The sequence below is a fragment of the Homo sapiens genome, chromosome 1, assembly GCF_000001405.40.
Source record: "Homo sapiens chromosome 1, GRCh38.p14 Primary Assembly".
NCBI classification, from domain to species: Eukaryota; Metazoa; Chordata; class Mammalia; order Primates; family Hominidae; genus Homo; species Homo sapiens.
The window spans coordinates 84622226-84639771 of record NC_000001.11 but is presented as its reverse complement, the minus strand read 5'-3'; the positions used below and the strand labels follow the sequence as shown (position 1 = coordinate 84639771).

Below are 17546 nucleotides of genomic sequence, written 5' to 3'. Positions count from 1 at the left end.
GTGCCTGTAATCTCAGCTACTCAGGAGGCTGAGGCAGGAGAATCGCTTGAACCCAGGAGGCGGACGTTGCAGTGAGCTGAGATCGCGCCATTGCACTCCAGCCTGGGTGACAGAGAGACTCCGTCTCAAAAATAAAATAAAATAGAATAAAATAAACTAACTCATTCAACAAATTGCCAATCAGAAAATTTTTAAATCTACCTCTAACCTGGAAGCCACTGCTTCAAGTTGTCCCACCTTTCCAGATTGAACCAATGTACATCTTACAGGTATTGATTGAATGTATTATGTCTTCTTAAAAAGTGTAAAAGCAAGTCACACCCAGACCACTTTGGGCACATGTCATCAGGACCTCCTGAAGCTATGTCATGGGCCTGTCCTTAACTTTGGCAAAATAAACTTTCTAAATTGATACCTATCTCAGATATTTTTGGGTTCACAAACCCTAATCCCTACAAAGCTTCTTCCTTTAATTCATGCCTCAGGTATAGTTTCTAAAAGATGGAATCAAGTTGTGGTCTAACCTAATATAGTCAGCTTTCCTATAACACTCATAAACACCATGTAAAAAAGGACAAGTTTGTCTCAATGCAGTTGACATATTAGGGAACAATTTGAGCATAATGCAAAATTTGTGTTTGCTTATGTGTGATTCTGTTAGTGAGAAACACTAAGTGAATGCAGAAAACTGTGCCCAGCTGATCCAAACTAAACAGTAACACACAAAACAAATATACATCTCAAATGTCTACTGTTACAGTAGATAGGTAGGCATGAGCAGGGCAGGAGAGGGCTCCCCCACCACCCACCAGGATGGTCAGGCAACCATCAGATAATGGTATGGCAGTTATCACACTGCCTCTCTAAAAATGATCATTGGCAGCCAGGCCTAGGAGAGGCAATTTCCTGATGGTTCACAGTTGTCATACTAACATGATAATTGATTGCAGGCACCAGGGAGAGGCAATTTCCCAAACAGATTAAAAACACTTGAAATTGGTAATCAGCTTCCAATAAAATCTCAGGAATTGGGTGAGTGAGCTTGAACATATGCATGAAGAGACAAAATGGTGGAGTATGGCCTCCCGGGGGCATTTCACTAGAAGAGGGAAGAAAGCCTCAGGTGAGCATGCTACAACTTCCTAAACACACTGTGCATGCTCACCTCCCAAGCACAAGGAGGGCACTGTGCATGCAAGGAGCCCACCCTCAGGGAAGAATTATGGGAAAAGGGATGCAAGACCCCGGAAGTATGCCAGCATATTCAACCCCAAGTCAAAAGGTCAAATGTCGCACTTATCCTTCAAGTCGCCTGCTTGTGTCCTTCCATGTGTACTTTCCTTTCTTTCCTGCTCTAAAGCTTTTTAATACACTTCCACTCCTGCTCTGAAACTTGCCTCAGTCTCTTTTTCTGCCTTAAGCCCCTCTGTCGAGTTCTTTCTTCTGAAGAAGCAAGAATTTAGGTTGCTGCAGACCCATCGGTAATTTGGATATTCACCACCACTAACACTACCATCTATCTCAGTTTCCCACATATGTTATAAACAATACTCATCCCTATCTGACATTATAATTTTCCCCTGGGATTTCAGACAACTCTCCTTCTACCACTTCACAACATACAAGCTGCAACCCTTCCAACCCCTACTTCCACAAGCTAACTTCCAGTTTTTTTCAAGGTAAAGTATCATGTTTATGGTATTGTTTATGCATTTCTTAACCACTTAACATGTATAAAACTCTGCTACCATTTTTTATTAGGATATTTTTTAATGAGTCAGGGATGACTTTTTTTTTTTGAGATGGAGTCTCGCTCTGTCACCCAGGCCAGAGTGCAGTGGCGTGATCTTGGCTTACTGAAAGCTCCGCCTCCTGGGTTCATGCCATTCTCCTGCCTTAGCCTCCCTAGTACTGGGACTACAGGTGCCCACCATCACACCTGGCTATTTTTTTGTATTTTTAGTAGAGACAGGGTTTCACCGTGTTATCCAGGATGGTCTTGATCTCCTGATCTCGTGATTCACCCACCTCGGCCTCCCAAAGTGCTGGGATTACAGGCGTGAGCCACCATGCCCAGCCCTGATGAAATTTTTTAATGCTGTGCACCTAACTCCATTTTCCCCATAGGTCTTGTGATTTTTACTGTAATTCTGCAAAACATGGTTTTTAGGGATATATGTATTTGTGTTAAAGCAGAGCTGATGAAAAAGATCACCTTTTGTCCCTCCACTTAACATATGCTGACTGCTGATAGCCTCTCAAAATTCCATGCCAGCTTTCCTGATTCTATACATCTGTAACATTATTATTTGAGGGACAGAAACTTTAAAAATTAAAAACAACCATCAAAAATACATCAAGCCCTTGCTGTGGCAGGCACCATACTAAGCCTTAATAAGCCATTTCTTTGACTTTTCCCAACAACTCTCTGTGCAGAAGCTACTGTTATACTCACTTTATAGATGAGAAAACTGATGCAAAGAAAGGTAAACTTGCCCAGCGCCACATAGCTAACACATGGTGAAGAGGACATGTGAACACCAGGAATCATTTTGTAGCATATTTTCTACTGAATCTGATGAACTTGCAAGTGCCTGATTGCATGCCGCTGACTAGGGGTGTTGCCCGACAGGTCTGGACGGACTGAGCTTGAGAAATGATCAACATGGCCTTTGGCTAGAGATTTACTGCATCCATCCTTGGAAAAGGAAAAGAAAAGAAATGGCCAGTGAAAAGTTCAAATTCTTACTTTGTGGATATAACATGTCCTAGTTGCCACAAGATTACCATGTTTTTCAGCCATGCCCATGAAACCATCTTTGCAAAAATCATAACAATTAAAAAACAATGACAGTGAAAGGGATCTATCTGATCTAACCAACTCCCATCTTGCCTTGAACCTCCGGACTGCCTTAGTCATTCCTGGGCTTGGGCCAAGCTAACTTTGGGAGAAATTTATAGTTTAAATGATAACAGCCCTTCCCCAAAACTAAACCACCTTTGTAAAGCAAATGAAAGACCACCAGGCTAGGTGGATGAGAGGAGCACGAACTCTGCTAAGGGGTAGACCTAAACAATTACAAGCCATTATTCTGGAGGTCACAAGATTTGCAACTTCCCCCAATTACTCCTGCAGATAACATCACTATTGTAGAACCTAAGATTGGTCTTCTGAGATGTCTTTTCAGGCTTTTGTATTTCTGACTACCATGGCTCCACTTGGACCTGCCAACCAGTCCTGTGGCCCCACCAAGAAGCAAATTCTGCACACCCCTCTGATTGCACCCCCAACCAATCAGCAGCACCCATTCCCTTGCCTGCCAAACCATCCTTGAAAAACCCTAGCCTCCAAATTTTCAGGGATGCTGATTTGAGTAAAAATAAGACTCCAGTATCCTGTTCAGCTGCCTCTGTGTGAATTAAACTCTTTCTGTGTTGCAGTGCCTCTGTCTTGATAAATTGGTTCTATATAGGCAGTGGGCAAAATGAACCCATTTGGCAGTTACACTCAGACAGTGGATCTTTGTGTAGGTTCTTCAACAGTGTTGTGCCAGCCTACAGGATGAAACACCAAGCTCACAGAAGAGTGTTCATTTAAAAGAAAGCAACACTAATGATCCACACAACATCCTGAATTTGTTATGTCCCAGAAAGGCTTATCATAAGTTCAGTAATTCTGGTTCATCTACCAAGATAAGTAAGTGTGTTTGATTTTGTAAGGTATGCAGCAGTGATCTCCTATTTTGGTGTTTTTCAATACAATTTTGGTTATGTGCAAATAAAAAATTGATGAAATTTTATTTTCCTTCAATATCAACTTAAATGGTTCTTACATCTATAAAGCTTTTTCTGACTCTGTGGGGAGGCAGTCACAACTCTGCTCTCAGAATTGAACTTTCTCCCTTTTATTCATTCAGCAAATGTTTATTGAGTACTTATTAGGATTGCTATGCTAGGTGCTGGGATTCTAACATGGAAGGTGACTTGGCCATTGCCCTCAGAAACTAACAAACTACTGCGGCAAACAAGCCAATGGGCCACTTAAGGCACCTGAGTAAGTGCTCCAATAAAGGTTTTGGAGGGCTCTGAGGCAGGGAAGAGGGGGAGAAGCATGTTTAGCCTGCGGAATAGGAGGTCAGAGAGGATGCTTGAGTTAAGTATTGAAGAGGGAACAGAACATACAAGATCAGAGGTATGAAACCAAATGACCTCCAGGGAAATTACAAATAGCTTTGTAAGAACAAAGTGGTGTGGGAGAACAGTGGGAGGGGTAGAGAGGAGCCAGGTTAAAAGGGTCTCAGATTCAAGAAGTTTTGAACTTACCCTGAAGGCTTAGTGATGTGCTTGGTCAAGCACAACTGTGACCCAGAGTGTTCCCTCTCTCTCCTTGTCATAGCATTGTGAGTATACCTCTATTAAAGCATTTATTACAAATGCTTTAACTGCATATCCTTCTGTCATAGCATTTATCACAATTCTAATTCCATATGGAGAACTGCTGAAAAGAAAGCAAAGTGGAGATGATACCAGGTTGCAGTAATCCAAGCAAGAAGTGATTGAGAGGAATGCATGTTCCTACAGGTAGACTCTGATTGGATGTCGGTGTTAAGTAAAACAATCTCTGGCTCAGATAGCGGTGGATGAAAGGGCTTACAGAAGAACAGCTTTAGGGGATTGAGCAGGAAATAGTCTAGTCAGCAGACCTGGGTTGCCTGTGTGTTAACCCAGCAAAGGTCTGTCTTCAGGACTGGAAAATGACCTCTGAGTCTTACACATTCTGCCTGCTAAGAGTGATTTTGCATGCCTGAGGCCTCGGGCCATGCTGTACCGGTGTGACTAGGTAAGTTTATCCTAACAATGTGATTTATGGTGAATGCCTTTTTTGCCTGTGGGCTGGAGTCTGAGTAGCTGAGATCAGTCACCTGGGTAGGCACTGCATACCTACCTGATGACCCCCAATAAAAACAATAAAAATCCTGAGCACCAAGTCTTGGGTGAACTTCTGTGGCAACACTTCACATGTATTGTCACATATTGCTGTGACTCCACTGGGAGAGGATACCTGGAAGTTTGTGCTTGCTTTTTCCAAGACTTTGCTCAGGTGCCTGCCCCTTTGCTGATTTTAATCTGTAACCTTTTGCGGTAATAAATCATGACCATAAGTATAACAGCTTTTCTGAGTCCTGTGAGTCTTTCTAGTTCATGTGAGTTCATCAAGCTTAAGGGTGATCTTAGGGACCCCTGACACAGGGATAATGAATTGTTCTGGACATATTGAATTTAAGGGTCTCTGAGCCATTCAAGTTCGTGTGGATGAACTTGGGTTTTTATTAGGGTTCCTCAGGTAGGTATGCAGTGCCTACCCATGTGAATGCCTACTGTTGGCAATTGGATATATAAGTTTGGAGCTCAACAGAGAGGTCTGGGATAGATATTGAGATCTGAGAGCCAATACATAAGTGGCTGTTGAAGCTAGGGGCATACATGAGGTCACAAAAAAGAGACAGATGGTAGAATGAGAAGCAGAAGGTAGAGACTTGGGTATCACTGGCATTCAAAAATCAAATGTGCAGGTATGGTGGCACATGCATATAGTCCCAGCTACTTGGGAAACTGAGGCAGAAAGTTTGCTTGAGCCCAGGAGTTCAAGGCAGCAGTGAGCTATGATCACACCACTGCACTCCAGCCTGGCCAACAGAGTGAGACCCTGTCTCTACTTCAGAAAGAAAAAAGAGAAAAGAAAAAGAAAAAAGAAAAGGCAAATATGGAAGAAAAGGCTCTTTTATGGAGTGAAGAGACAGAGAGTTGAGAGTCAATATCAAGAAGATATCAAGGCCAGGCATGGTGGTTCTTGTCTGTAATCCCAGCACTTTGGGAGGCGGAGGCAGGTGGATTGCTTGAGCCCAGGAGTTTGAGACAAGCCTGGGCAACATAGTGAAACCCTCCCTCTATAAAAAATACAAAAATTAACTAGGCATGGTGGTGTGCTTGTAGTCCCAGTTACTCAGAAGGCTGAAGCGGGGATCACTTGAGCCCAGGAGGTCAGGTTGACGCTGCAGTGCAGTGGTGATAGCACCGCTGCACTCCAGCCTGGGTGACAGAGCAAGACCCTGTCTCAAAAAAAAAAAAAAAAAAGCCACCCTTAGGAAGGAGAGAATTCCAAGGAAGTTCAAATGTTATAAAGAAAACAATATATAGAAAAACGCTGGCAGTATTGTGGTCATTAGTAACTTTAAGGAGGGTTCCTCTGCATTTCCTAAGTTAATTTAACCAATATTTATTGAGTACCTGCTGTGTCCCGAGCCCTCATGAACTCAGTATAAAAGGAGACACCCAGGTAATTGATTGTATCTTGAGTGGATATCTCCCTGGAGAGAGTGCAGCAGAGGGGAACTCCTCAGTACCTCATGAGAGTGGGAGGATGGTTTTGTGTCCTGAGCTGTATCTTAAAGGATAAGTAGGAGTGAACCAGGAGGGATATGTCCAGGGCACCACTCACAGTGGGGTTTTGGGTAGCATAAAAGGCAAAGCAGGGGACCAGACACCAGACCAGCAAGATAGTCTGGAATCTGATCCCTCAAGGGGAGCTTGGGCATTATCCTGAAGGCATTTCCTGGAAACACTGAAGGATGTAATACAGAGGAGTAAAAAGATGACTCACACTTTAAATAATAATTCACTTGGCAGTTCTGAGAATGACCTAAGGGAAACAGATCTGGGGGCAAGAAGGGCTCTTAGGAGACTAATGCACCAATCCTGGTGTTTGGGTGTGTGGGTACGAAGTTCTTTCATTTGCAGTTGCTGTATGAGTTTATTTTTCTGCCTTAACTAAGGTCCCTGAGAAAAACAGAACCACGTTTTATGCTTTTGTAAATTTCCTCTTTCTCTCCAAGCTGAGCATGTGGTCCATCATGAGCCATCTGGGAAAATACACTTTTATACTGGGAACCTTTCTGACATATGCATGCTTTTCAGGAAATTGGGAAGTATATCCTAATTGAAAATTAGTTTCAGAGTTGAGATACATTGTAGGACTCAATATATTGCCCTTATTAGAAGGCAAATCTTTTACTGTCATACACATGACTAAGCTGGACCTCAGGAAGAATTCATTTCTGTTTTCTACATTTAATTGACATGAAGGTTTATTCATCCCTACCATTATTAATATCAAGAAAATGGACAGAGGCACTAGCATTATTTTAATCAGGTTAGTTCTAGATAATGGGTGAATTATCCTAGGAAGAGAAGAACTAAAACTGGCCCCTGGCAAACTCCTAATGATGAGTCTGTACTGCCATCATTGGTGGTGTCCCTCGGCAGCTCAAGGCCATGTTGGGTGAATGTGGGCCTGTGGGGAAGTCCTGTAGTGCTCCCTGGAGAGCCTGGGGAGAGACCACCAGCAGTACCCAGCTGTTTAGTAACCACGCTCTGATTGGTGTGTCTCATAATCGGTAGTGCTGGGCAGCTGTTATATCTAGAACAAGTTTCTGCTGGCGGCCGAAGTCCACTGTTTTTGACATTATGGTCCTTAGAGGACGGTGATAATGGTCATGTGTAACCTGCCAGAAAGTTAATTGTTCACAGCAGCTTGAGTGTAATATCTCCTGGTTATACTAGTATAAAAAGGCTTTCTGCAAGAAATGCAATATGAATTGGGCCTCCAAAATCTAGGTTTCTCTGTGCCTTTTTAAAATTAAAACTTTAAAAAAATGCCTGGAGCTAAAAAGAGAGAAAAAATAGAATTAACTCATTTATAGATTATTAAAAACCCAATATGCTCTACGACATAGAAAAGTAAGCATATATGTTCTTATTCAAAAATTTCATCAGATGTGTATTTCATCAGAATGATAGGGCAAAATTGATATTTAAGATCAGAAATACACCTGAAAGATCAGGACTCTGGTATCCACCTAAACCATGGTAGAACATATGTAAGGTTGAGAGAGAAAAATGTAGGTTGGGATGTTGAATGGACAGCTGTTGCTGGATTTGTATTGAATTGATGCTTCTTCGCTTCAGAAACAGCTCTTCTGGCATGATGGTGACCTGCCATGGAAAATGCTGGGTCCCAATGCCCAAGTGACTGTAGTTGTGGCTCAGCCAGGACCCGACCATTTAGATCACCTGTTGTTAGACACGCAACACTGTCAACATAGGTAAGTTTCCACTTTTTATGAGCCATGTTAAAAAAGGTAAAATTAAACAGGTGGAATTCATTTTAATAATAGGTTTTATCTAACCCAATCTATCTAAACTATTATCATTTCAAACTATAATCAATGTAAAATTACCAACTGATTTTACATTTTTTTCATACTCAATCTTTGAAATCCAGTGTATATTTTATACTTACAGCACATCTCAGTTCAGACCAGCCACATTTCAAGGCCTCAATAGCCGCAGGTACGTAGGCTTTCGTAATGGACTTCACAGCTCTACGAGTGGACCCAGAAAGAATATTTAAAGGGAAAACACTTTAGTTCCATTAAGCCAAAGCAACTTATTTTCTAGTAGTACTTATAGGAATATTTTTTTTGTTGTCATTAAATTCCATCCTCTTTTCCATGCTAAGGTTGCTATTATTAAGAAACTTAGTTTGGTGAAACAGACACTAAAATAGTTACCATGTGAGAAGTAGCATGTTAAAAAATGCTATGTGAACACAGAGAAGAAAGTCAAAGACCCCAAGATAAAATCAAAACTGTGTTTCCCTATAGCACAGTGATGTTGACTTAATTAACCATCTGTTTATCTCAATGCACCTATACCTTTTCTGGAGCTTTCATTTCCCCATAGCTCACTATATTCCTTTTCTATTGCAACATTAACAAGTTACCACAAACTTGGAGGCTTATAGTAACACATTATTATTTCACAGTTCCTGTGGGTCAGCAGCCTGTACACAGCTTACCTGGGTCCCCTGCTTGGGGGGATCTCACAAGGCTTCAATCAAGATGTCAGCCCAGGCTGTGGTCTCCACTGAGGCTCCGTGGGAAAGACCCTGCTTCCAAGCTCACCTAGGTTGTTTGCAAAATTCGGTTCTTTGCAGCTGTAGAATGGAGGGCTTCAGTTTATTTCTAGCTATGCTGTGGGGCGGGGTGGGGGAGCTGCCCTCAGATCCTAGAGGTCACCTGCAATTCCTTGCCACTTGACTATGTCCACAGAGGTGGTCCATGCATTTCTGCTTCCTTTGCCAAAGCCAGCAACAAGAGACTCCAACAAGACACATCCTACCATCTCATGTATGCAATCCCGTGCAGGCAATCATGGACATGTCCATCACATACATAACCACGTCCATTCCATCACCTTTGCTGTATTCTATTGGCCCACTCAAAGGGTGTGGACTAATTAGGGAGCGAGAATCAGCCCTCTTAAGTCAGCCCTCTCTATTTCATGTGCCAACTCTCTAGAATATTGATCCTTTTGGTATTTTAAGTCATATCTATTGTCACTGGAAATCCTTTTTGAAGTAGAAAGGACAGAGCTCACAAAATACAAACCGCGCCACTATTCCTGCCTGTCATTTAGAGTTTTGCCAGGGGAGCAGGTTGATTTCAGTCTTTTCATGGAGTTTACTGTTTGATATGATGATATCTTTACCCCCATAATTAATTTTATTTTTAGTTTTGAGACATGGTCTCATTCTGTCACTCAAGCTGTAGTGCAGTGGTGCCATCTTGGCTCACTGCAACCTCAACCAGCCCAGGTTCAAGAGATCCTCCCACCTCAGCTTCCTGGGACCACCCCAGTGGGATCACTGGCGCAAACCACTATGCCCAACTAATTTTTAAAAATTCTTTGTAGAGAGGGGGTTTCACTATGTTGCTCAAGCTGGTCTCAAGCTCCTGGGCTCAAGCAATCTGCTTGCCTTGGGCTCCTTTGGGATCCCACAAAGTGCTGGGATTACAGGTGTGAGCCACCACACCTGCCCCCGCCCCATAATTAATTTTAAGTTAATCTCCACATTTCATTATCTTGGGCTAGATTTCGGGGGAGGGGCCTAATTTAGCTGGCATGTGCCCCATTGGGTGAATCGAATAAAAGCATAGCTGCCCTGGCATGGATCTGTGAACAAAAGTTCTCTGAAAAGAAATTTGGAAGAAAGACTTCATTCAGGAACAGTTCACAAACTTTCTGTGTAAACCAGTTACTTTCCAGAGAACAAAGGGAGGATCCTGGTTTTATAGTAAAAGTTCATGCTCAGGTTGCCAATCAGGTCCATTTTATGAAAATGAAGGCTTTAAATTTGCTTAGTTCTGTTTGGTTGATGCAGCTGCATTCTGATTAGTGGTTAGAACTGAGCCCTAATTGGTTCTTTCAGATGAGCTCTGATTGGCTGCTTTAGGTGAGCTCTGAAAGCCCCACTGTTAAACTGAGGTTGGGGGTTTCCAGGGAAACTCCGAGTATATGAGTTCTAGTCAGCAAATGGCCTGGCCACTTGGCTCTCTTTAAAATTTTGGCCCAGTTAGGTACTTGGGATCCATCTTGAAGGATTGGCTCTTGAAGGATTTGTTCTGAGAACACTTGTGAACTTGAGAGGCCCAGTAAGGCAGAGTGAAAACCAGAACGCTTGGCACCTATCAGTTAGCACAGGATCCTTCCCTGGAACATCAGCATCCCTTATAAGTGTGTCTAACGGCCAACTCGTAGACAGAGCTATTGTTAATACACTGTTCTGAGTATCCCTCTGTGAACACCTTCATCTGGTTGATACAGGAAAATTAAGGAAGACAAAGTTTTGGGAAAGTGATTGAAATCGTGGAATAATCAAAGCAAATCAATGGCAGCTTGTGTTTAAAATTAAAAACCAACTGTCAAGCATGGCATTTACCTAAAGTAATTTCCAAAAGTAATCAACAGAGTGAACAACACCCAGTGGGCCAGGACCATGTCAACGTTGGCTCATTTTCAGAAACAACATGGTGTCAGGGCTCCATGTTCATGGACACCATGAGGGGAGTCTCCTAGCAATGACCCTCTTCTCTCCTGCAGGAAGTCCAAGGTCCTTTGCATGGCAGTCTTATCCCCAAATGGCATTTGCTTTCGACCCATGGTATTTCCATATTCCATGAAGAAAACTTTAAAAATATAGGCAAATCACCCTGCAAGTATCCAGAGAGTTTCCAGGGGGTTTCTCACACACACACACACGCACACACACACACACACATGTTTAGTGGGGATCTTTTAGGTCAATACATATAGATCTACATCATTATTAGTTGTTGCTTGGTGGGCCACTGCATGAATGGTTAATAATTGTTTAATTTTTCCTAGTTAGACAATAAAGATTTTTAAAGAATATATCTTTGCATACTTGCTTATTTATTTGATTAGGATAAATTCCTGAAATTGGAATTGTTAAACCAAGAAATACGCATATTTTTAAGGCTTTTGTTATGTTTTGTCAAATGATCCTCAGAAAGAATGTTTATTAATTCACATTTCCACTAGCACTACACGATAGAACTATTGGGTATTTTTTATGCTGTTACCTTTGCTGGTTTTATAAATAAAATATTCTCTTGTTCTTCTTGTCTTTTTTTTTCTTTTACTACTGAACTTGAAGATTTTTTTTCACATTTTCACTAGCCATTTATATTTTTTCTACTTCAAGTCTTTACTACTTTTCAATGAGGCCTATCCTGACCACCCTACTTCAAATTGCAAACCAACCCCCCGACCCCTGACATTCCTGATATCCCTTTACCTTTCTCTGCTTTATCTTTTTTCCTATTGTAATGATCATTTCTAACATAATATATAATATACTTATTTATTAATAAGTACGTCCTCCCCAGCCAAGTTCTGGGAAGTGGAGGGGACTCCGATCACATCGAATATACAGCCTCTTCCTTGGCTTAGATAAGAGACAAGACAAACTCTTATTCTCCTGACACTGCAGCTCCTGTCCTTAGATGACTCGGGGATAGTTATTTTACCTGGACTTAAAGGTTATTCCCAAACTGCAGGGAACATGTGAAATATCATCTGACTTCCTAATTTTTTGTTCATGTATATACATACATACATATACACACACTAATATATATATATATATGTGTGTGTGTGTGTGAATATTTTAACATTTTAAAGTTTATGAAACTGGAATATGTTTTATGCTCAATGTATACATTAAACATACTTGGCTTGTTTTTCTGAAAAGCTGTTATTTATGATTTATGTCCAACTGATTATGTCTTAAAATAATAAAATATATAAAGTGAACCCTAGTGCCACTGACAGTGTTTAGATTACAACTCTAGACCTCTTGAAAAATTGTTACAAGAAGAATATCATTTACTTAAAATTGTTAAAGAAGCATTCTGATTCCTAATGTTTAGTCTCTTTTATTATTTATTTCAGAACAGAGTCATACAATAAATGTTGACAGAGTGTCTACTATATGTTAGACACAGTTCCAGGTACATAGGATACATTAGACTACAGCTGGGTTAGCAAGCTTTTTCTCTCAAGAGCCAGATAATAAATATTTTAAGCTTTGCTAACCGAGAGGTAAAATCGAGAATATTAATGTAGTTACTTACATAATAAGAGAGAAAACAAATTTCCACAATTTTCTTATTGATGAAATTCATAACAAAATAGCAGTAATCAGTTTTAAAGTTACTTTTCTCTACCATCAAAATTAATTGCAAATCTTAATTGGTTAATGTCAACTTGCAATGAGATTTTACATATTTTGTCCTTAAAAATGTCCTTTCACACAGATAGGTTCTACCTAATACCAACATCTTTCCATGAACGTATCATTTTAATTGAACATATTTATTGTTTGGAAGGTGTTTATAGAATTAGATTATTGGCTTAATATTTGTCATTTAGGATGCCATTACATTCCAAATTAATCACTTCCAATTGGAGGTTAGGTGAAGCTCTTTAATTATAAGTTAAATGGACTTTGAAATATGAAATTTTCATTGCATTTGCTTTGAGGTCTGTAACAAATGGCTGAAAGTGCATTGGCAATGTGGCCCACCCAATCTGCAGTGTAGGATGCCAACCTGCATTTGGAAATACAAGGCAAAGGGTTCATTCCACCAGGAGATGGAGTTGGCAATGGAAGTGGTCAGGAATTCAGGTGATGTTCAGGTTCTAGTCCTCACAGCATCTGAGCAGAAACCCAATCCCATGGACCAGGCCAGTGGTTCTCACCCACAGCTATGTGGCAGGAAATTAACTACGATACAGTATTAATGCTTGTGAATGCATTGTTTTTCTAACGTAATTTAGGCCCAATTCAATCGTATCCTTACTGTTATTCCCACACGATTGCAGTTTATTCGTTGTTGTTGTTGTTGTGTTTTTTTGAGAGAGATAGGTATGGTTTAACTATTAGCATGGAGGATGTGTGCTGTGCACATAAACATCGCCATGTGAGGACTGGAGGAAAAAAACACTCACCTGAGATGCAAGACTGCTATCAAGAAATGACCCACTAAATAAAAACAAAAAACAAGAAACAGAAATGACCCACTGCAGCAGTGCTGTAGGAGCTCAGAACTCACCACCTCAGAGACCATGGTAATGGCAATGAAGTAACTCTACATCCCGCATATCCCTGGATCACAGGCTACTGATGGATTGCTGGTGTTGGCTTTCTCCAAACTGGATGGCTCTTGTTTTAGTCCGTTTTCTGTTGCTATAACAGAATACCACAGACTGGGTAATTTATGAAGGAAAGAAAGTATATTTAGCTCACAGTTCTGGAAACTGGGAAGTCCAAGAGTATGGCACTGGCATCCGTGAGGACCTTCCTGCGGCATCATAACATAGCAGAGGGCATGACATGGCAAGAGAGCAAGAAAGCCACAGCTTGCTTTCACAAAAAAAGCCACGATGGTGACATCCATTCATTCATGAGAGCGGAGCCACCATTAATCAATTTATGAGAACAGAGGGATTAGGTTTCCAACACAAAACTTTTAGCGGACACATTCAAACCATAGCAGCTTTTTACCTGCAGGTTGAAATTGATCACTTCCGCATTGAAGTCACAGGATATTCTTCTCATTGAGGTTTGGAAGGAGTTGTCTAAAGCGTTTCTCCTGGAATTCCTGCAGAAAATAGTTAGCTTAACCCATTGCTGCCTGACCCTGGCTGGGGGAGGGTGGTCAGAAATGAGGTACCCCAAATCAGAATATTAGGGTTGCATTGAGTACTTTCTGGAAGCTGCCTGTGCATGTACGTCCACCTTCTGAGAAACCCCTTTTTTCCCTAATAAACTACAAAGGAAAGTGAGGGGAATGGGGGCAGTAGTGCTGATGGCAGGAGAGATAGTAGAAGCTCTGAAAATGCTGCCTCCAGGCCCTACCTATCTTTTGCTCTGCTCATATGTACTGGAGAGAAGAAGGCTCTCTCCTTAAACAACAACCTTTGCAGAAATCCTATTCACAGCTCCCCAAAGGCTGAGAGTGAATTTTCAAAAGATGAATTATTGTACTATATAATTGGCTTAACTTAATATCTGGGTAAACGGAGCTAGCACTGGCTCAGTTTGGCGGGGCTTGCTCTAGGAGCCTCATTTTCTTCTCTCCCTGAGGACAGGATCATGTGCATGATGTCCTTGTGCCCCCACTGTCACCAACTGCAGTGAGAAAGGTAGCTCGGAAAAGGGGTTCTCAAAGAAGCCTACAGCAAAAGGGTTATCCCTCAGGGACAGCATGGTGTGTGCCTGTGTGCACATGAACATCATCTTAGATAGTTCATTTTGTCTGGACACATTGGTTCAGCTACAGCGATTAACTGCATGGTGGCTTGAGCTCTATTCCCGGTGGCTGGGTGTCCAAACTGGTCCTTGAGCAGTGCTCACAGTCACAGGAGCCACAGACTGCAAGACTCACCCCTGAACACAATGAGCACTTAGCACGGGCAGTGAGAAAGCTGTTTATCATCCTCTGCACCTGGGCAAAAGAGACGAATAAATCCTAATGTGAAAGTTCTGACTTTAGGTGAGGTATTTCACCTTATCCTGTCCTCAAAAGTCATCTCTAAATGTTCCTGCTTCTTATTTTCAAGCTTGGAGGGCCTATCTTTCTTTACTCATTGTGTATCCCAAGAGAAATTTGGGTGTGGGGGGGTGGGGGCAGAGGATAGGTGTCCTTGCAGTCCAGTTTGATCCTAGAAGGGGTGACTCTGCCCTTGCCCTTTAGGATAACATGGCCAAATTAGGGTAACAAGAGGGTTGCAATTCTCTTATGTTTGAGTGTATACTTTTTAAACAGCCAAAAAATGCACAAATAAGAATAAGGCAAGATGTGGCTGGGCACGGTGGCTCACGCCTGTAATCCCAACTCTTTGGGAGGCCAAGGCAGGCAGATCACCTGAGGTCGGGAGTTTGAGATCAGCCTGACCAACATGGAGAAACCCTGTCTCTGCTAAAAATAAAAACTTAGCCAGGTGTAGTGGTGGGTGCCTGTAATCCCAGCTACTCAGGAGGCTGAGGCAGGAGAATTGCTTGAACCTGGGAGGCGGAGGTTGTGGTGAGCCGAGATTGCGCCATTGCCCTCCAGCCTGGGCAACAAGAGGGAAACCACCGCCCCCCCACCCCCCACCCCCCAAAAAAAGAACAAGGCAGGATGTAAACTATGTGACTTAATGGAAAAATTCATACTGGTTGCTTAGCCAGGTCAGAATTAGATAACCATCTTCTATGGGGTCAAGTATAAGTACCCAGCTGCTTCTGTGTCCCCACTCAGCTCAGAGCTTAGTCTTTGAAACTGGTAAATAAAGCTGCACCAGAAAGTGTTGCGCATCAAACTGGTCAATTAATAGTTACAGCGGTTCAGGTCAGAGTATCTCTCTCTAAACAGTCCCTGATAGAGATAATCATCCCACCAGTTCTGAGAAATGTAGAGAAAACTTGTATCTTAAGTGACTCATTTAACATTAAAGCAGCCTATTAAGTTGTCTATTTTGAAATTTCACTCTATAAAATTTTCAGAAGACTTCTAAGTGCATATTCAGCTTTGTTATGGCATGTGAAGAACATTATTAAAGAGAAAAAGATTCTAAGTGCATAGAGAATAATGGGCTCACCCTCCCACTAGTGAACACTTAAGAATCTGACATCTTCCACCCATTTCTCTGTGTCCCTTGCAAGGGGACAGTCATGCCCTGGGCAATCCCAAGGAACACTCCTTTCCCATCTTCTACTGGAGATGGTGGAAGTACCATCTAAAAGTCTTAGGTGCTACATTCTGGTACTGGCCCTTTCATGGCCAAGATATGTTCCTTTGGGCAAGTTGTTCAAACTCTCTAAGCCTAGTTTTTCAACTGCAATAAAGATGATTCCAGTTCAAAATCTGGGCAAGTGTGAGTTACTGCCACTACGTGCAGTCAAGTTCTGTCATGTTTCCTCCATCAAGCTACCCAGCAGGCTTGGGAGAATCAAATGTAAGGAGGTGTAATGCTACCAAGTTTAGAAAATCTACTAATGCTGCTTCAAGACAACAACTTCCCTCCTTCTAGCTCATTTGAATCCCACAGCAATCAGGAAACATAACTGTCAGGTAATATTTTTATTTCCTTTTGGGATGAGCAAACTAAGCTTAAGCGAGGTTAGGTAATTTACTCAGAAGCACATAGCTAATAAGCAGACTAAGAAGAACTTGGGCCTTTAACTGAATACTGCAGACTTTCTACCCCACTCGCTGACTCTATTAAAAACGCAAACTGGCCAGACCAGGCATGGTCCACCAGTCTTACCAGTGTCACCCAGGTGCTGGCTTGTATTAGGTTGGTGTAAAATTAATTGCGGTTTTGGTCACTACTTTTAATGGCAAAAACTGCAATTACGTTTACACCAACCCAATACTTCCTGATGCCTTTATTTTTACCAAGCAGAAGGGGAATGCACCCCTTCCTCATGCTTCCACACAGGAAAATATACTCTACTAAGCATTGCTGAGCAATGTTGATCTCACTAGAGACTTCATTTCATGGGGATAGAAACATTGGAGAATTTGACTTTGTATCTCCACACACCACATCATCATCACCACCAAAGATGGTTTTTTTCCTACAGGCTCTTCTCTCTGCCTCAGCCTCTATCAGGCTGCAGATGACCAGACAGGGAGAAAAGAAGGGGAGAGAGAGAGAGAGAGAAAGAGAGAGAGAGAGAAAGAGAAAGAGAGAAAGAGAGAGAGCGAGAGAGAGATAGAAGCAGAGCCTAGGATGCTACATGTAAACAGTGAAGTAGATACACCACTCCCAAATCAATGACTGTAATCCAAACTCTAACCACATCCTGCAGAGAGGGGCAGGTTCAGAATTTCCATAAGGAAGAGTGTCACTTAGGGGGCCCAATCTAGCTGGAAGGAATGGGGGTGCATTGTTTTGACACTGCATGTGCAAAGCAAACACATTGTTTTCATTTAGCTTGTGTGCTTATCTGGGGTGACATTGGCAAATCAGAAACATGACTATATGAAAGAGTGTTTGTGTGGAGGAAAAAAAAGACAAAGACAGTGACCAAAGAGACTTCAGCACTCTGCCAGGTGAAGGAAAAAGGTGCA

At 41.8% G+C, this 17546-nt stretch overlaps 2 long non-coding RNA genes across 2 annotated transcripts; one reads left to right on the top strand and one right to left on the bottom strand.

The window, feature by feature from the left end:
• Window positions 1-2612: 2612 nt before the first annotated feature.
• On the bottom strand, window positions 2613-9296 carry LOC124904206 (uncharacterized). Its single transcript, XR_007066196.1, has 5 exons — window positions 9138-9296; window positions 8918-9055; window positions 8360-8441; window positions 4324-4498; window positions 2613-2698 (listed from the first exon to the last, which is right to left on the bottom strand). It is a non-coding gene; the product is annotated as an uncharacterized LOC124904206 (long non-coding RNA).
• LINC01555 (long intergenic non-protein coding RNA 1555) lies at window positions 4752-11542 on the top strand. Its single transcript, NR_027379.1, has 3 exons — window positions 4752-4840; window positions 8026-8162; window positions 8885-11542. It is a non-coding gene; the product is annotated as a long intergenic non-protein coding RNA 1555 (long non-coding RNA).
• Window positions 11543-17546: the final 6004 nt, after the last annotated feature.